The 20,287-nt window shown below is 35.7% G+C and overlaps 2 protein-coding genes across 29 annotated transcripts in view, besides 2 other annotated features; one reads left to right on the top strand and one right to left on the bottom strand.

The window, feature by feature from the left end:
- ARHGAP22 (Rho GTPase activating protein 22) overlaps window positions 1-10,427 on the top strand; it is a 226,435-nt gene extending 216,008 nt beyond the window's left edge. For all 3 annotated transcript variants that reach the window (XM_024448100.2, XM_011540013.4, XM_017016476.2), the window contains one exon: window positions 9,676-10,427. In XM_024448100.2, the coding sequence (XP_024303868.1) occupies window positions 9,676-9,932 (257 nt within the window). In that variant the 3' untranslated portion in view covers window positions 9,933-10,427. The remainder of the gene's footprint in view (window positions 1-9,675) is intronic.
- Window positions 278-572: a silencer, noted in NCBI's record as "tiled region #2186; K562 Repressive non-DNase unmatched - State 14:Gen5'". NCBI's record gives its function as "represses a minimal TATA promoter and a strong SV40 promoter by Sharpr-MPRA in K562 cells {active_cell/tissue: K562}" and the evidence as "EXISTENCE:reporter gene assay evidence [ECO:0000049][PMID:27701403]".
- Window positions 278-572: an enhancer, noted in NCBI's record as "tiled region #2186; HepG2 Activating DNase matched - State 4:PromP". NCBI's record gives its function as "activates a minimal TATA promoter and a strong SV40 promoter by Sharpr-MPRA in HepG2 cells {active_cell/tissue: HepG2}" and the evidence as "EXISTENCE:reporter gene assay evidence [ECO:0000049][PMID:27701403]".
- The window catches only part of MAPK8 (mitogen-activated protein kinase 8), a 132,684-nt gene continuing 113,294 nt past the window's right edge, over window positions 898-20,287 (bottom strand). For 7 of the 26 annotated variants that reach the window (XM_047425480.1, NM_001323322.2, NM_001323330.2 and 4 more), the window contains 7 exons: window positions 19,938-20,103; window positions 15,673-15,744; window positions 14,188-14,370; window positions 13,754-13,878; window positions 13,115-13,178; window positions 8,988-9,065; window positions 898-5,374 (listed from right to left, as the gene is read on the bottom strand). In XM_047425480.1, coding sequence (XP_047281436.1) covers window positions 5,229-5,374; window positions 8,988-9,065; window positions 13,115-13,178; window positions 13,754-13,878; window positions 14,188-14,370; window positions 15,673-15,744; window positions 19,938-20,103 — 834 coding nt within the window. In that variant the 3' untranslated portion in view covers window positions 898-5,228. Of the gene's footprint in view, window positions 5,380-8,987; window positions 9,066-13,114; window positions 13,179-13,753; window positions 13,879-14,187; window positions 14,371-15,672; window positions 15,745-16,098; window positions 16,171-19,937; window positions 20,104-20,287 lie in introns of all 26 variants that reach the window. The other 19 variants (XM_047425482.1, NM_139046.4, NM_001323325.2 and 16 more) reach the window with 8 other exon arrangements.

Below are 20,287 nucleotides of genomic sequence, written 5' to 3'. Positions count from 1 at the left end.
CAAAGAAATACTGGTATATAACCATTAACAGCTAAAAAAATTTTTCTTAAACCACAAAATCACTACAAATCAATCTTCACTTAGATCAAGTTAATAGACCTTTTCAGGAACAATACTGAAAAAGAAAAAAAAAAAGTACCTAAATTAACGAGGATGAATTATTCCACTTTACAACTGGTGAAAATGAAAAAAAGTAAAAACAAGTTTATTCCCAACATTCTGACACTTGCTTCTGCTACCGTTTCTCCTGGGAGGCCTCTCTATGACGGTGATGAAACAGCTCAGCTGCCACGCAGCTGATCCAGCAGCAGCGGGCAGCTAAAAGATCAGCCCCTTCCTCTCCGCTCCTCAGAGGAGGGCAGTGTGAGTTCAGGTGAGGGCAGACAGCACGGTACAAAGGTCATTTGGAGCAGGAACTGTGCAAGACGGAGTGGCGTCATTACAGTGGCTGGGAAGGTACTGCAGGGACCCTGTATTCCCACACAGCAGCAGACCCAACGTAGGCAAAGAGGAAATAAGCATGGCAAAAGTTGGAAACAGTCAAAGCTAAAACCTCTTGCTTGTTTTGAAACAGACCCCAATTTTAAGTACTTATTTTTGCCAAGTGGTCACGATGGCTGTTCTCTCATATGTCTACCAAGAACTAGGTTAAGGGCATTGAAGCAAAGTTCCTTTTTTAGATAAAGTTTATCCAGCAATTTCAAACACCAGAAATCCAAGACCAGATCAACCAGATAATCAGCGTGATCATTTAGGCTCTTTACAATCTGTACAAAATCCAAATCTAAGAAACCGGCCCTAGCAAGACCCCTTTTATCCCAATCCACGGACAATCCTAAAATTGCCAAGAAAAACTTTACCACAAACAGATTTTGTTTTCAATGAAAAAACTCTTAATTTCATAATTTTCATACCACTTTTTTCTTTTTTATTTAAAATATTATAACCAATTGACATACTAGATAACATTGTTTACATTCCAGTGGTGCATGTTTAATGACTAGGGCATGAATGATGAAAAACCACAATAATGATCTCAGCATTCCCTAAAAAGTGCCCCATTTTGTTTTGTCTAGAGGAAAGGAGAGGGAACGGAACACAGGGAAGGAGAGGAATGGAGGAGGAATGACATCGCAGAGGGAGAAAAGCAAATGTCAGCTATCATACTCAGGTTTCCAGGTGTGACACCCTGCTGACCAGGATAAACTGTAATGAGAAAATAGATGTCACAGTCCAGGGAGACACGTAATTCAGTCTAACTTCATTATTCAGCTAAAAGATTAACAGCTTCTCAAAAATATACCAAATATTGGGCCTACAAAAGTAATTTATTTCTTCGTAAAATTTTTACTAAGATTTACTCCTTTTGTAAAATGTAAATGGACCGATATCACGAGCAGGTTTCTACTTACAAAAACAGTAATAATGTCAACGAGCACAATTTTGCAAGACATACAGTCAAAGATTTTACACGTGTCTCTTACTGATGTAAGGTATATACTTTACATACTTACTGGTATTGTGTCAACATTGGCTAGAAAGTATTTAACACACATTTATAATTCACTCAGTAAAGATCTAACAGGGCAACAGCTTACTTGGGAAAGCATAGAAAATTAGTGTGAGGTAGTTCAATAAAAACCTAGTTTAATTTGTAAGTCATTATGAGAATAGAACATTGTGCAAAATTAATCCACAGGTAATATTTCTCAAAAGTTTCAGTAACGAAGAGAATCTAAACTAGAAATGGCCAGAAAGTGTTACTGTTACTAGACTCTCCTTAAGAGCACTTAACGAAGAGCAGTCAGTTTGAAATTAGGACTTCTGTTTTCCTTACGAGTTTTCTAATCGTACCCCAAACTATACATTTCTGCTTCAATGCCCTTTACCTCTTCATCTTTCTTGCTATTAAGGAAAAATTAGTTTCCTTTGATTCCGTAAAAACCTAAGAGAGATCAGTAGAAACACAATGCACACAAAAATGCAACAGGATACGGAGAGGCAACATTTAAGAGGGCTGCTAATGACAGAATGGTGTTTGGTTTACCTACTGGTAAGAGAAGTTTACTGGTGTCATGGGGCTTCATGCATCCACTCTATAGCTAATGTGTAACTAATGAACAACACTCACAAACTACAACAGTATTTCTGAAAATATTCTATGTTCTAACCTCAAAATGTTGTGCAGGCGAATGCCTAGGCAACACTGAATAGTTAAGTCTTCATATGTTTAGCAGATACTGGCCAATAGTGTAAACCAAGTCTTATCTGTAACCAAGGAAAGAGCTTCACTTTCCTGCTGATGATTTCACTATCAGACACTGATGTCCTCTTCCCTCCATCTTTTAGACAACACAGCAGGATTAGCATAGAACAGAACAATGACAAGGCTGGCAGGATGCTTCTTTGCACACCATCAAGCTTCTTTGGATTGTTAAGGGGGTTGTGTGTAGGCTTCTGATTTAAGAGGCTGGTGTTTCTCTTAGAAGTCTGGCATGAACACACTGTGCCTTTACCAACTCGGAAGAGTGCACGTCAGGAACAATTAGCAGCCAAAGGTGCATGACACTGAAAACTGTTCAGCAAACACTATGACAGAGTTGAGATGCTCTATCTGCGTATAGTATAACTAAGTGATCCCAACAACACAATGGTTTTACAAATGGCCAGTATATATTAGAGGGAAGAGAATAGTAACCAGGAAGACATTGGTACAGAATTAGCATCTCTTTCTGAATCTATGAAGATAATAAAAATCTTGGTCAAAATAACTTTCTGATAGTAAGACAGTGAGTATATTAAGTATATAAAATTGAAAAATCAAAATTATAGAATAAGAAAGGTGGTTTCATACAAGTACTACCTGATAGAAATGTTATTTGTAACTTCTCTTCAAAAAAAAAATGTTTAAGATGCTTAAAGGATTCCAAAATAAAAAGAACCAACATATATTTAGCTTAACAAATTTAAGACGAAAACTGTATTTGGATGTAGTAATTTAAAACCTAGGGCATGCAACATTTAACAAAGAGACCTTGTTTTTAGGATATAATTTGTTAAGTATTTTAGTTTACACTAAGTAATGAGAGTTTGTTTTCTTTGAATTGAACTGAACATGATGGTTGGCAAGTGGCAGCTGGCATTTACAATAAATGATACAGACACACACCTGGTTTTCCTTACTTAACCAAAATCTGTATCAATAGAGATGGCTTATCAGCAATCAAACATAAAATATGAGAACCTTCTGAAAGCATGTCTGCTGTGAAAGTGCAACAGTGACATAATCTATGCTACAGAAAATACAGCTAATTGTGAAATTAATATAAACACACTCATTCTCAAATTTCTGCTGAAATTGTGAATCCAATATTTTCTGTCTACAATTCAAGAAGTGTCTTAGAACTCTAATTTGCCTAATCAAATTAATGCACCTTGTTGTATTAGAAAAGGGACTGATAAAAAGGCTGGGAAGCTGGAAATCATGACTCTAAGCCATCGAAAACAAACTTGCTACTTCAAAGTATATAAAAAAGCTAATGTATTTTAATCTTAAATATTGCACATTAACAGTGATGTAAAATATCTCACTCAAAAATAATTTTGCACTAAATATATGAATAAAATGCCAAGCAAATTTTCAGACATTGCATGTTGAGCCGCACCTGTTCTTGCTCCTGTTGGTCACAAATTCCAAGGGGCTTTCTGCCTAGAACCTTGTTGCTTATGTGAGTATGCATTTCCTAGTTCATTACATGAAATCCCTCTTGTTCCAGAGATAATTTAAAAGGTGCCTGGGTCTATTACAGACAACGTATTTCAGAAATAACGAGACTTCAAAGACATTTTACTTAGGAAAAGTTCAGTAATAGAGAAATAATTCTACAGATAGAAAATGTAAACAGTTAACATACACTTGTCAGGAGCAGCACCATTCTTAACACTACTCGACATCCACATTGCGTGTTATGTTGAAAATCAGGTATAAAAAAATAAAAGACTTAGACTAAATAACCACCATTTATGCCTGCTCTGCTCAATGTGAAGAAACAGTCCTTAGAAAATGATATCCTATATATGGCTGTGTGCTACTATTTTCAGATGAACGGTATATTGCTCATTTGATACATCACCTACACAAATCTAGGTAGGGTTTGGAACCTCCCAATAGCTCGTATAAATGATTATGCTACAAGTAGAATCAAATGAAACACCAGAACAACTGGTGCTCAACTGACAGACACTCCAAGTAATAGGAAACAGGAAAGGTCCAAGGACCCGAAGCTGCAGGAAAGGGAAAGACCAGACTCTAGAACATTGCTGGGACCTACAGCCTGAGTAGATTAACTCAGTGTATACAAAAACAGGCTCATAGCTAGTAGAAGTGAACCATCTGTTTATTTGCATTGAAATGTATTATTCATGAAGTATCCTCTTGCCTTTATGTGATCATAAACTTTGAGCATGCCACAAATTTGTAGAATACACCATATTCTTTTTACTTATTTTTGTTGGGTAGGGTGGGGACATAAGGTGGTGGTAGACGCCCAGCATCTTCAAAGACATGCTCTGAGTTATTCTGCCATTTAGATGACGGGGCTTTTGCCAAAATTAAGTAGGATTGCCTACCAATTCTTGTAACTAAATTAGGATTGGCAAGTAGCAAATATTGGAGGTCTCCTAACACGTTCATCATTTACAGTAGTTATTCCTGAATATAACTGGCTACAAGTTATTTTCCCTCACTCCTCTGGGGTTATTTCATTGATAAGCACATAACCCTGAAGGATAGTATCATGAACAAAACATCTGAAATAAATTCTAATTAAAAAAAACTATAAAAATCTTAAATAATTCATGATATAGGCAAGTCACCACATAATAGTTGCTTTGATAAACAAAATCTTACAAATTCAGTTAAAAAAATCAGCAGCATAAGATAAAGCAAATATGCAAAAAATTTAAACCATGATAAAATAATTAGGTTTACATTATACAGTTAATTACAGCAAAAAAAATACAATACAGTTTTGTTGCTGTTTTGAAACACAACTTAGGTTTTAAATTACATCACTTGAAATTAAAAAAAATAAACTACTTTACTACAAAATGAATTCTACATTTTTTGAAAAATCACCCAAAAATAAGACCACTGAATTGTTTTCAAAGTAGTTCTATCAATGACTAACCGACTCCCCATCCCTCCCACCCCCCGATGGCCCAAGTAGTCATCTACAGCAGCCCAGAGGCCCAGCTGCTGCTTCTAGACTGCTGTCTGTATCAGAGGCCAAAGTCGGATCTGTTGACATTGAAGACACATCATTGACAGACGACGATGATGATGGATGCTGAGAGCCATTGATCACTGCTGCACCTGTGCTATGAGAAACAAAACAGCAAATCAGTTGCAGACAGCTGCAGATCAAGCTACTTGCACTGCACTGACTGCCTCCAGTGGTAATTTTTTTCTCTTGGGTTTCGAAGGCTCACTAAAAATAATCGCAAATGATATCCAACACACTAACTTAAAAACACTCTTCATTGACAGCTATGAGGTGAGAATTCTGAAAATGTCTAGAATCGTGGAGTCCTATCCTTTCAATGAATGTGTTTTTCAGTTTAAGACAAGAATTTTACATCTGAACCACATTTAGAAATGGTCCTGCAGCAAGATCCATGAATGGGCTTCAGGGTATGTGTGAATACTGCTGATAATACATGCAAAACTGTCTGTAATGCCTTTTTTTGGACAGAGGATCTTAAAGGACTGTGTAACTACAAAAGTTAAAAGCTACTTCCCTACAAAAAAGTCTTTACAGCTTCTCACTAAAAAGGAAAAATTCAAATGATTCAAATTTGAAACAAGATGTACTTCTGGCACATCTTGTTTTAAAGCAAATGCCAAGACAAGGAATAAAATTAAGTTTAACAGGAAGAAACCTCAATTCAACTGCCCCACTTTACACGAGGTTATGGGACATGCCACTGTCACTCAAGTGGCCTAGTTAAGTAAACTTGGGTCTTCTTATTTCTACTCTAATACTTGATAAGCAGAAATATGGATTTATTAAATATAGTAAGAGCAAACAGTTTCCTTTGCCGAAAGTATTACCTAACAAGCATTTCCTGGATTTTAAAAAGTTAACAGGAATACCTGAGCTCGAGACAGAAATCCTCTCAAGGGGATTGGTTTAGGAAGGGGACAGGAATGACTTATGCTGGGGGATGAAGGATAGTTAAAGGTAACTCATGCACTAGGCTAAGTACTTCTGAACCACATGAACACTAAATAAGGGTCATTCCAAATTGGAATAATGCAAGTTACTTAAAAGTTCTCAAGAATACATTTATGAAATAAAATCAATGGTCTTCAAATGGAACACTGAGCAGAATTTCTGAGGGTGAGGTTCAGGCACCCAAAGATGCTGAAACCAAATGGGCTGAAAACCACTGCTCCTGAACCCAGCATCTGTATTTGAGATCATCCCTCCATTCTGTCCAGATGAGCAATGAAACACTTCAATATGAAAAGTCTTCTGTGAGCTTTTCTTCAAATGCAAAAAGAAAATAGGCAGTGTAGTGGGAATAGGAAAATCTTTAGGGAGGGGACTGGGATACAGAAAGGAATGGAACCACAAGAGACAAAGCATGTGATGGGAGCTGAAACGGAAGAGAAAAGCAGGATGAGCATTTCAGGCCTGAGAGATGAGAGGTAAAAGAGGTGATAATCTCCTAGACCCAAGAAAGGTCCATTAGCTTCCCAGTCAGAGTGAAATTCAGATAGTATATTCTATTTAGTTCAATCAATACTTGGAATGAGCCTTTTCTGACTGAACAGTATGGTATATCTGTGTACCATACATAGTACACAATGACTAGTTTCTAAGACTTGTACTGAAACATTCAAACCATAAAAGGGCTCCAACATATACAATTTTTATATATGCCTCTAGTTCAGGGTCTATTATTTTACCCAAATGTCTTAATCTGATAAAAATTGACTTTTAAATGCATTGTTAACTTTTTAATCTAAAAATCAAGTACCTAAGGGGAAAAAACACACACTTGTTTTCTCTTTAAAGCAATACAGTAAATTCTCAAATATCTGAATGGTAATAATATGGAAAATCTTTAGTCTCACATGGGTCATTCCTCTCTTAAGTGAGCCTCTATACACTCAAGGCAGGTAAACTTACTTTACTATTAGCCAAACCAAAACAAAGATAGGAAGGCACTCGACAGGGAAAAAGAATAAAATTCCTTTTAAAAATCAAGTGGAAATGGTACTGTGGTTATCTGGTATTTTGATTTACCAAACACTACTCCTTCTGTTTTAGTACAAAATCAAGAGCAGAATATTTTTATAACAGCTTAATTTGCTAATACTCGTCTTTGCAAGCTATAACTGAGGATCCAGAAAAAGTCTAGAAACCTCAATTTCTATCTTTTTCACTGACTTATTTTGTGATCATAAGCAAGTGCTGGACTAAGATTCAAATTATTCACTTACAAATTAAGAACAAATACAAATGCTCTAACTCATGAAATTATTACATTTACTCAAACATCTGGCACTCCAGCTGTGCCACTCACTTGGATAGTATGCTAAAGTATAAAACTGTCCCACATAATGAACTTTTCAAATCCCACCTGAGCCTCCATCATGAACAATTGTTACTACTACTACTATATAGCAATACAAAGCTAATTAATTACACAAAGCATTTATAATAGAGCTTTAAATTTGTTATAAGTAAATTGTAGAGAAAAGGCCATTTCCAAAATAGGTAAAAGCGGTCAAAACCAATTCATATATTCAACAGGATCTACACTATAATCTGGAAGATTGCATTCTTGATCAAAGATTTAAAATATACAACTCTAAAATATATAACCAAAAATGTCAAAGCAAGCCACAAAAAATGGCTTAAACAATTATGTTTATAGTATACAATGTCGCTATAGTTTAAAAAACCTTACCCATATACAAGATGCTAGATACAACATCTATTTTTTTCCTCAAAAGTAGAAGTTTCTGAGGAATTAAAATGGCATAGTTTTACTTCAAAATCAAGATCTTTTGAAATACTACTCACTCTTTAAGGCTCAGCTCAAATTTCACCTCCTTCATACAACTGTCCTAACCTCTGTAGCCAGAGAAGTCTCTGTTGCCAGCCAGATAACAAAATGGGAGGCTGAAAAAACCACACACTCTGAAGTTACTGTATTAGTTCATCTACATAATAGATTTGGAATCTTATGTTACTTCAAATTTCTGAACTTTAGTTTCCTCATCCATAACATGTGTGCAATAATCCTATACCTTAGGATCTTAGGGGCTGAATGAAATAAAGTATATAAACCACTAGTGTCTGTTATGTGGTATGTACTTAGTGTACATGTTACCTGCCATTTAACTTTTCCCCTCTATTCTTTATACTTTTACTTGTACTAACATTAAATATAAGATCAGCTTATGATAAAAAAAAGTTTTAACTCCTACAAACCCAGTTTTCTTCTTAGAGAAAGAATACTTTCTAGTGATGGTTTTAATGTTATTGCCTTCATTCAACAAATCAATAATATCAAAAAGAGAAAGACAGCAATTTGGTATTACATGTACTAAATTTTGCAGTGAAGCTTTTATTTATCCAAAGTAAAGACTGTCAAGATCATAGAAAGGTATGTATATTGAATTTTGAGAAGTTTCCTCTTTAAAGACCCAGCAACAATGCCAACAAAAAGTTTTTAAATTTCTGTTCTTCAGAATGTCAGTATCATAGAAAAAGATGTGCATCTTATGAACAGTTACTGATATATTAGTATAATGTATTAGTAGAAAAAACAAAACTGTATTTCCTTATACTTATTAAGCCTGGAATAATAATGATTTTGTAAATATGGGAAGAACTGCAGGTTTCAGGCCACTGAAGATTACAACACAAGAAGTAAACTGTAATCTTAACCAAGCTTATATTGTAACCAACCTAAAGGAGAGGGCTGCCCCCGTATAACTCCATTCTTGGTTCTCTCCTCCAAGTCCATAACTTCCTTATATATCAATTCTGTAAAAGAAGTAAACAAAAATGAACTTTTCAAAGTCTAAGAGCCAATCTCACAACGCATGTATGGTTTAAGTGGAAATTTTTATACATGTGAAGTACTTCAAACAGTGTCCTTACAATGACAGTCAGTTAAATGTCGGCCTAAGATTCAAGGATGTTAATTAATAACAATTCCTTGACACTCAACAATGGATCATATTAAAAGGAAGTACTAATCTTTCCTGTAATTCACTGTTTCTGAAGTTGGTTTGATAGTGCTGGGGTAGAAGCTTTCTTTTTCACTCTACCAGCAACTTGTGCTACAGCACATCATACCACATACCATTCTGTACTACCATCTGTCTCAGGGAGGGCTTGAACCACGTGTCTTACTGACTTCCATTTCCTGGGCCCTGGAATAGAGCCTGGTGCACTGTGGGTACTCAACTAGATATATGCTACCAAGATTTAAATTAGAGTGTGCAAAAGCTTCACAACAAATCAGAATGAAAGATAAACACATTTTTATTGGAGGAAAACTAGCAGGTAAGCTACATTTCAACTCCTTATGAGTAAGCATGGTTATCACTTCGAAGAACATTTCTCCATGGGAATCTTTTTCTCTTATCAGGCTTCTGGACAGCAAGTAGACCACTGCAACAACTGTTCCAACTGAAGAGACACACTGGGAGCTGCTCTGCTGGTATTAATATATGCGCCTCCTGTCTTATATTCTTCACTTATATTATCATCAGAAGTGATTCTGATGTTAACTGCGATGTGCCTTGTGAGTCTGAATGTCTACTTAAGAAGAACCTTCGGCCATGTGTGGTGGCTCATGCCTGTAATCCCAGCACTTTGGGAGGCCGAGGTGGGTGGATCACCTGAGGTCAGGAATTTGAGACAAGCCTGACCAACAAGGTGAAACCCCATTTCTACTAAAAACACAAAAATTAGCCGGGCTTGGGGGCAGGCGCCTGCAGTCCCAGCTACTCGGGAGGCTGAGACAGGAGAATTGCTTGAACCTGGGAGGCAGAGGTTGCAGTGAGCTGAGATTGCGCCACTGCTCTCCAGCCTGGGCAACGGAGCAAGGCTCCATCTCAACAACAAAAAAACAAAAACAAACAAAAAACCTTCTTAAGGTTCTTAATGTCTACTTAAGGTTCTTAAGTAGACATTCAGACTCACAGGGCACACCACACTTAACCTTAATGGTGGATGCCACATCAACACTATTTATCATCTTCTTTGGGTCATGGAATCTTTTGAGAATTGTATAAAAGTAGTGAACCCTCTTCTGAGAAAAATGTACAAACAAAAAATATTGCATCGAATTTCAAGGAGTCTGTGTTAATTCCTGAAGAATAAAATTCTGATAAAGAATCCCTGATTACAGAGTATGACATTTATATTGGTAATAAGGTAAAACAAATGAATATGTTGGAATGAACAACAACTGGAGATAAGTTTGTTTGCTATAGTAACTTAAGGCTTGGAAGGAGAAAAATAGAAAGCACTGATAAAGGAGAGAATAAGAGATGGTTTTCTTCAAAGAAACAAAAAGGAATGATAAACATTTGCAGTAAGAGGATTTTTTAAGAGAGAAAATAGCACTCCTCTGGGAAAAAGCACAAAGGGATTAAGGCAGAAGAACCAAAACTAATTAGGAGCACTAACTAGGCAAAGCCATCTGTAATTAATGGCTTTGGCAATTAATCTTTCTTTCTGCTATGCGCTAAAACTCTTAAGTAGATCTTGAAAAAGGCAGTCTGTGGGTAATTACTGACATGCACCTGGGGCTAGGAGTAAAGGATACAGAATAAAGGTAAATGTTTTTAAAGCAATCAAAACCCCCAAATATATCCTTATACAAATGAAAACACTGTATCTCACTGATTTTAAGATGTACTTTTTTCACAGTTTAATCTCTGAAATTGACTATATCTTATAACCAATGGTGCTGTACAACCGAAGGTGTTTTTTTCTTTGTGGCACATAATGGTGTGCCTTACAACTGCTGGCCTATTAAGAGTCTATGACCTGGACAACACAGTGAGACCCCATCTCTACAAAATTTTTTTTTAAAAATTAGGCTGGGCGCAGTGGCTTAAGACTTATAATCCCAGCACTTTGGGAGGCTGAGGCAGGAGGATCACTTAAGCCCAGAAGTTTGAAACCAGCCTGGGCAACACAGTGAGACCCTGTCTCAAAAAAAAAAAACAAAATTAGCCAAGTGCAGTGGATCACACCTGTGATCCCAGCTACGGGGGAGGCTGAGGCAGCAGGATCACTTGAGCTCAGGAGTTTTGATGCTGCAGTGAGCCATGATCATACCACTGCACTCTAGCCTGGGGGACACAGTGAGACCCTGTCTCAAAAAAACAAACAAACAAAAAAAACAACCAAAAAAACCACAAGATTCTACAAAATACTTCATCGTCTACTGTAAATTAGTAGGATGTAAAAATATTAGGTTAATGTTTTCATACATACTCAGTACAGAGCTATATCTTTATACATATTCAAATGCACATTACATATTCAAATGCAGCAGACTCTATCCAATTTTATCATTTTGTCATTCTTCTAACTTTATCACGGGCTCTGCTAACCATGGGTTTCCCAAAGTTCAGAGAAAACCAATCTCTAAATCTCTTCAATTTCTAAGAAAGAATCAAATTCATGCTTAGCAAAATACATTTATAGATGGGTCACTTATTCATGTTTATACCTCCCCAGTCCCCTTTCCTTTCCCAGGATTTAGAGACAACTCTTAATAACAGGTCTTCTGCCTCTATTTTAAGATGAGGTAAAATGCAGGGGGCAGTGTAGGAGGGTGAGATGAAGGGGGAGTGATTTACTCAAAGTCACGCAGTTACAAAAGTGGTCAAAACACTGAAGGACAATAACACAAATGGAAGTAAACGGGACCTAAAAATTACCTGACCCACATGTCCCAGGGCACCTTTTGAAGAAATATTTGAAAACTTCCATGACTATCAAAGCATGATTAATTTCAGCCACATTCATAAAATAGAATAAAACTACATTAGATTTACAAATATTAAAAATTAACCCATTCTGTAGGCAAGGGTGAGGGCAAAGAGAGACTCCTATATAACATGGACGGAAGTGTACACTACTACCATTTCTTTGGAGAGTAATTTGGAAATAACTGAAAAATATCTTTGGCTCAGAACATCTCCTTCCAGGATTTTTCTTCCAGGCATGTTCTCATATGTGAACATGAATATTGCAGAGTTGTTTCTAACAGCAACAGACTGGACACAATTTAAATGGTCACCAAGAGGGAGATGGATATATAAAGTGTGACATATTCATACAGCAGAACACTAACCAGTTATTAAAGCAAGAGAGGCAGATACGTGAACTAAAAGAGAATAACCTTCCAGATATCTGATTATATCAACAAAGCACTCACGCCTATAATCCCAGCACTTTGGGAGGCCGAGGCGGGTGGATCACGAGGTCAGGAGATCGAGACCATCCTGGCTAACATGGTGAAACCCTGTCTCTACTAAAAATACAAAAAAATTAGCCGGGTGTGATGGCAGGCGCCTGTAGTCCCAGCTACTCAGGAGGCTGAGGCAGGAGAATGGCGTGAACCCGGGAGGCAGAGCTTGCAGTGAGCCGAGATCACACCACTGCACTCCAGCCTGGGTGACAGAGCGAGACTCCAACTCAAAAAAATATATAATAAATAAACAAAGCAAGTACATATAGCATACACCGTACACAACCATACGTGATTTTAAAAGGGTGGAAGAGGAGAGGTGGGAGACACTAAACACATTTGTGTATTCACAAACCATGGAAAAAAATATGAGACAGAGCACTAATGTGTCTGTGTCTGGGGTGGGAAACTTGGGAACTTAAGATTAAGTTAAGGAAGGAAGCAGACTTACTTTCTACTTATGTAAAAATATTAATATTACCACATTTCGGTTATGCATATTAAAGTCACAAATTTCTCTAACATGATAATAAATCACCATATAAAAACCAGAAGCTCCTTCACAGTTTTCCCTCTAAGAATCTGACGAATGTACCTTTCCACTCTTCTATTGTGTGTTCCCTTTCATCTAACTGCTTGTCAGGGATCTTTGGTGGTGGCTGAAAAACACAAGGCAATAATAACCAAGTCAGTATGCTGGGAGTATTTTAACTCTGTAGTTATTTGAAATATTAGCCACACAGATGACTTATAAAAATATATCATTAGATCAAGACTGATCAATCATCAACTTACTTATACAGACATAATAGTTTAGGAAGACTCCTTCATTGCAGGAAATAAAATGTTTAACTGTCTTTTTTCTTTTCTTCTAGCTCTTGAAATTGCCACATTTTATTTATATCACAGATCACAGAATTCTGTTTTCCTTTGGATACAGTAATTTGTTTTATACCTGAGTTAGGATGTTCCCCCAGAGCATTCAACATCCTAGTTCTCTGGTTAGGTATCCAGGCAAGATTGCAAAAAACAGTGGGAGGTAACTTTATTTTGTGTAGGAGGGGCTCGAATATGTTCATTAGTTTATTTGACGTAGTCTTCATGAAGAAACAGAAAAACATCATCATCATGTATCTACATTTTTATTTAAAATTAAAAGGTCTCCTCCAAACCTAACTGTCATTCTAACTCTAAGAATGCAATATGTTCTGTAAACATTAAGAAAATAACTTACAGCTTCTGCTTCAGAAGGATCATACCAGACATTGATGTACGGGTGTTGGAGAGCTTCATCTACAGAGATCCTTTTAGATGCATCTATTACCAGCATTTTGGATAACAAATCCCTTGCCTGACTGGCTGCAAACATAATGGTGTTAATGTACATATATTTGTAAAGATTCTCAAATTATTAATAACTTTCAGCAATTTGAGATTTTTTAAAAAGCATATGTTTTAAAAATATTACTGTAAAATTATCTTATACATATGATTAAAATATATAAGATTAAAGAAAAAAAAAACAAAAACCTCATTTTTTTCCCCACCATCCAGAGAAAACCTTGGGTTCATGTCCCATAAGAATATGAATACATATAAACACACAAACCCATACACACACACTACACACCCCAAATGGGATTAAATGTACATATTTGTAAAAAGTACCTTTAAGTTTGTTGTGTTCTGAGTCAGCTGGGAAAAGGACATCAGGGAAGAGTTTCTCAAAGCTATATCCAGCATATTTAGGTCTGTTTTCAACGTAAGTCCTTACTGTTGGTTGCAGTTTCTTCATGAATTCAGGACATGGTGTTCCAAGCTGTTCAATAACTTTATTCCACTGATCAATATCTAATATCAAGTAGCTAAGAAAAATACTCCATAACTAATGTTCAATACATTAGTCATATTCATATTACAAGAAAATAGAAATTTAAAAATTCCTAAGAAAGGATGTGGCAGTTATAAATTTTATATCTCACAGGCACCCTGCAAAAGGCAATGATTGTAGGTGGACAGAAATGATCAATAAATAAGCTTTATTAACCTTATTTATTGTGTGTTCAAACTAACTGATTTTACCTTAAAATGGAAGCTTAAACTCACAAATTCTAAATAAAATGATAAGCAACTAAGAATAATGACAATTACTATCCATAGTGGCTCTAACTGCAAACTGCACACAATGCTATAATAATATACAAAATTTTTCCTTTTCTGTCAATTTATCAGAAAACATGATTATATCTCCTAGACAATATTTCTAGAACACATCCTGTTTTACTGAGTTTTCTACACTAACAGAAAATAATCAGTTGTAATAAAAATAAAGGCTTCGATAAAAGTGGCATTTTCTTTTGCCATTCTTTGTTTAGCTTAGGTTTAAAAAAATTTTCTAAAGCTCTGACCCTTATAAAAAAGATTCAGTTTTTTGCTAAGTTGTAAGGTTAGGATTTCTTGGTCTCCTTTCCTCTAGTCTTTACACTCCAGGACCCTGAAGGCCAAGGCCTAAAACTCACTTATTGTAACCTTGTGAATATGCCTTTTCCCATTCTTCCTCCTGAAACAATTCTAAGTGTTACTAGCTGGTAAACACATAACAAATCACTGTTAATATAAATATTAAAAGTAGTGGGATGAACAAAAAGTATGAATCCAAAGCTATCGTTACCATACAAAACTACTACTGCTGAAATTCTCAGATGAAAGGGTCAGTATGTTATGTGAGTAATGAGACAACAATCAAAAGACACAAACCACACAGAACATTAACAAAAAGGAGGTAGGGGACAAAACAAAAGGATGGCCAGAAGCAACAGACAGCTCCAAAATTCATATTAAGTTGTACGTATTTCTAGACTTAAGTGTATAATTATTATAAATTTTTAATGCAAGCCATGATTTTTGATTTAGGTTAAATCAACTCAAAGCCAGCAAGTAATTGTGCATAATTACAATTGAGCAGGGTTCAGAATTAACATATGAAACAATAAATAACGGAAGGAAAAGTCTATGTCAAATAGTAGGTGGTATTTTAAGAGTAATTTAACAATATATTAGGGAGAGACAAAATACATTATACCTGACCAAACTGAAGTGCTATCATACATTTTGACCTTTAGAAACTACATTTTAGGCCAAAGATAAGGATACGATCTGTACCTGGGAACAAAACACCACCTTTGATCATTTCTCCCATGATGCACCCAACTGACCAAATGTCAACTGAAAACAAAATGCAATGACATTAACATAAAGATTTTGGTTAAAATAAAAAAAAAAAGAAAGAAATAAAATCACACACACCATGTATACTTTAAAATTATAAAAAGCAGTATAAAATAAAAATGAGTGACAGTGAATGTGCTCTGACTACCAGCAGAGACTGTATGTCCTACTGCCAGATGCAGCCTACAAATATTTCAGCTTCTTATCTCAACAATTTTTGAACTATAATAGCCACAAACTTTATGCCTGTTTAAAAACCCATCTGTGTAAATGTAGCATATTCATTTTCATTAGAGAACATAAAGAAGTTCATCGCCTAACTAATTAACTGCTGCAGCAGCACAAGGATACAGTCCCTTCCTGGAAAGAGGATTTTGTGGCAAACCATTTCTCCCATAATGCACCCCACAGACCATAAATCCACTATATGTTTGCAGCACAAAAGAAGGAAAAGCAAAGCAAAAGGTCATTAAAATCAAAGAAGCATAATATGACTGCATTATATAAAAACTGCAAAACGTCACGAAAAGAAAAAAAGTGATTGTAACTTTAGCTAACGGAATAATTTAAAACACAAATTATTTTTTGAAAGTCTGGTTCACAAAAGAAAATGTAAAGTGTGGCATTTTAACTACATATCTAATTTCAAAGTGAGAGCTATGCACAGAAATTGCATAAATAGAAAAACCCTGCATGTTTGTCCCTGAGAACTTGTTTATAAAATATGAAATAGAACCAAACACAAACTTTGTAAATAAAAATGTACATGAGGTAGTAAAATTATAAAAATAAAATTGTTATACTATACTATTTAGAAGTTCAACTGTGCATTATACTCTCTAAGAAAAAAGCATGAGAAAATAATTCAGCATATTAAAATATCTAACAGAAATAATCTCTATGAATAATTATGATAAAAAAGTTAATCTAAAGCTCTTTGGAATTTTTAAACTGGATTTCCCAAATACATTTAACTGAGAAGTGCTATGCTTGTTCTGAATTAAAAGTCCATTTGTTTTCTTGGCAACATCATGCTACATTTACCCTACTATCCCAAAAGGAACAAGTGCACAGAGAATGAACAACTAATCAAGGAAAACTTAGTAAGAGAAATGTATTTCATGTTTCCTACCTAAAGTTTTTTAAACCCATAAAACCAAACTGCTTTTGGCTTAAGAAGTTAGTTTTGGCTAGATACAGTAAGTCAGTTCCCACGAATTGAGTATGAAGAGTCTCCTGGAAGACTTACTGATGACCCTTGCCAACTGTAAATGGGAATCCCAATCAATGTTGACAAGAATCTGCTAGACACAGAAACAGACAATTTGGAATCTCCACTTACTAAGGGAAACTGACAACACATCGTGGCATTTTATGCCTTTGGGTTTGAACATCACACAAAAAGGAGAGAGTAAGTGCTTGCAGTGTAACAGGAAAAGAGGGAAGAATGAGCAATTTAGAAGGAAAAGCCTTAGAAACTTGCATTTAGTTGTGACATCTGAAGGTCCCAATTCTTTAAAATGACAAGTGGAAAACGGCACAAATAGATGTCAGAAAGACACGTGCCCTTTACTCATGTTAAAGGACTTAGAAAATTAAAGCCTGTACTTTCTAATACAGTACATTCTTATTAAAAGGCTGCCAGTTCACTGAAGAGTCTTAAGAGCTAAACTGGAAATTACTTTTGGAAATACTGTGGAACTAAAGTTTCCCTAAAATGTCATATTAAAATGAATGAATATTTTCATATTTATGTCATGGTTCAGCTTTCAAGGATAAGATTTTAGAAAAAAAATTTAATATTTATAAATTAGTGCCTCAGAGAAAAATTTTTTCTAAGGTTTCCGTTTTTGACAAAAATCTATTAGAATAAATCTTCTCTACAGATTTTATAGAGAATGTTAAACTTTAAATATCCAGCTTACAACTTATTTGGTAACTTTCAGAAAAGCTCATTTTTAAACAAAAGTATTTTGAAAGCTGCAAGCATGAGAGAAGATATTATCTGGGCCAGTGAAGACTAGGAACATAAGTCTGATTCATGCACAACTCTAGCTGTAAACTAACTGCTTAGTCTATTAAGCAGTTAAAAATATATTGATTACACTGCTTTCCAAAATGCTCTGAGTAGCCTGCAATAAAAGGTACATAAAGCAAAGTTGTTAAAATGGGTGGGAGGCCAGGCGTTGTGGCTCAAACTCCTGTAATCCCAGCACTTTGGGAGGCTGAGGCAGGTGGATCACCTAAGGTCAGGAGTTCAAGACCAGCCTGGCCAACATAATGAGACCCTGTCTCTACTAAAAATACAAAAATTAGCCAGGCATGGTGGCACATGCCTATAGTCCCAGCTACTCGTAGGCTGAAGCAGGAGAATGGCTTGAAGCCAGGAGGTGGAGGCTGCAGTGAGCCAAGATGGCATGACTGTACTCCAGCCTGGGCAACAGAGTGAGACTCCATCTCAAAAATAAATAAATAAATAAATAAATAAATAAATAAATAAATAAGATAAATAAAATGAGTGTGAGGTGTCATTAAAAGGAGGAAGTACTTATGTTTAACCTTGCTGGCTAATGTAGTTATAATCATTAAGCATTACATTTGACTCCGTTTCCTAGGGTGGGAGTGGGAAGGCAAGAAGGTGATCTACATAATTCTTAACTAAAGAGGAACCATATGTCAGTTCATTTTTTATTCTATTTTATTTTTTGAGACAGAGTCTTGCTTTGTCGCCCAGGCTGGAATGCAGTGGTGCAATCTCGGCTCACTGTAACCTCCACCTCCCGGGTTCAAGCGATTCTCATGCCTCACCTCCAGAATAGCTGGGATTACAGGTGTGCACCACCACACCTGACTAATTTCTGTACTTTCAGTAGAGACAGGGTTTTGCCATGTTGCTCAGGCTGGTCTAGAACTCCTAGCCTCGAGTGATCCACGAGCCTCGGCCTCCCAAAGTGCTGGGATTACAGGTGTAAGCGACCATACCCAGCCTCAATTCTATATATGACAGTTTTTCTTAGTGCTAATTTCTGGCAGGGAGCTATCCTAAGATCATATTTATAGGACACTGACACATAACACCATATCTATGACAATCAATTACAGCAAATGCAAAAGCAATCTTCATGCTGGTGGGTCACGTGAAGTTATCAATTCCCAAAAAATAAAAAACTTCAAATTTCAGGTAGAGTGTAAGTAAAAAGAACAGCATATTTACTTAAGAATAAAAAATTAATAGCAAATGTTTAAAGTATTTGTTTTTAATCAGCTCAGAAAATCAAGCTCAGCTTAATTGTATCTTTTATAAAAAAAGAATCTTAAAAGTTGACTTATTACAATTTCCTGATTCAAAATGAACTGCTATTCCAGATTCCTTGCCAGAAAAAATGTCTAGGTTTTATTCTTGGTAGTATTTTGGATGAAGTCACCACATTTTTTAAAACGATGGTTTATTTCCATAAAATCCCATGCTTCTTAGCAGATTTATTCATCTCCTAAATTTCTAAGACTCAACAAAATTTCTTCCTAAATTAAATATAAGTAGGTATATGCATACAAAATGTTTAAATTCATGATCTACATGCCAGATAATTTTGTTCAACACTGATTCTTAGGTTGATTGATACAACTGGATATACCCATACAAAATACTAAAAGTCATTTCCTTAAGGCTGGATACAACGTTTTAATGAAACTTTACTGCTTCCTTCAAGAGGTCACCTTAATTATCCATCAGCTTTGCAGAGGCCTTAATGTATCTCTTAAAATTTACAATGAGTGCTACTGCTATGAGCTTTAGTTTCATGGGGTTGGAAATATAGGCAAATATCACTGATGTACACTAATAATAAACTGTCAGTACACTATACATCCCTGAGACCATGTTAGAAATGTTCATTTTCAAGTTATAGGCAAGCAAAGAGCATAAATTCTGTCTCAGGGCCACGGCAACAAATTCTTCATCCAATGGTAGTACTGATGTTATGTATCCGTATTTAAACAAATAAGGGCCCCAAGTTTTTCCAAACATTGATGAAAAAATTTATAGTTACCTGCAAACTTTTGATACACATTTCAAACAATGATACACATTTAACTCAACGTACTTCTGCTTAAGTATTTACATTAAAAATCTACTGAATAAAGAAAAAAGCTAAATCAGAAAAATATTTCAAATAAATGTGTGTGCTGACCGTTTTCCTTGTAGCCCATGCCAAGGATGACCTCGGGTGCTCTGTAGTAGCGAGTCACTACATAAGGCGTCATCATAAAACTCGTTCCTGCAGTCCTGGCCAGACCGAAGTCAAGAATCTTCAAAGTGCAATCAGATTTTACTACTATATTACTGGGCTTTAAGTCCTTCAGAAAATAAAAATTAAAAAATGACTGCCATGATATATAGGAAAATCCTACAGTTCACAATAAAGTTATACTATCCCTTGCAAAACATTCATGTTAATTGTTCGTTTTTCTCACTGTAATATTACTGCACTGATTCATCGTTAAAAGGCAAACCTGAGAAGTCAGTTTTATGGGATTTAAA

Source organism: Homo sapiens, chromosome 10 (assembly GCF_000001405.40).
Source record: "Homo sapiens chromosome 10, GRCh38.p14 Primary Assembly".
Lineage (NCBI taxonomy): Eukaryota > Metazoa > Chordata > Mammalia > Primates > Hominidae > Homo > Homo sapiens.
Note: the sequence above shows the minus strand (reverse complement) of the source record. Positions and strands in the feature narration are given on the sequence as shown.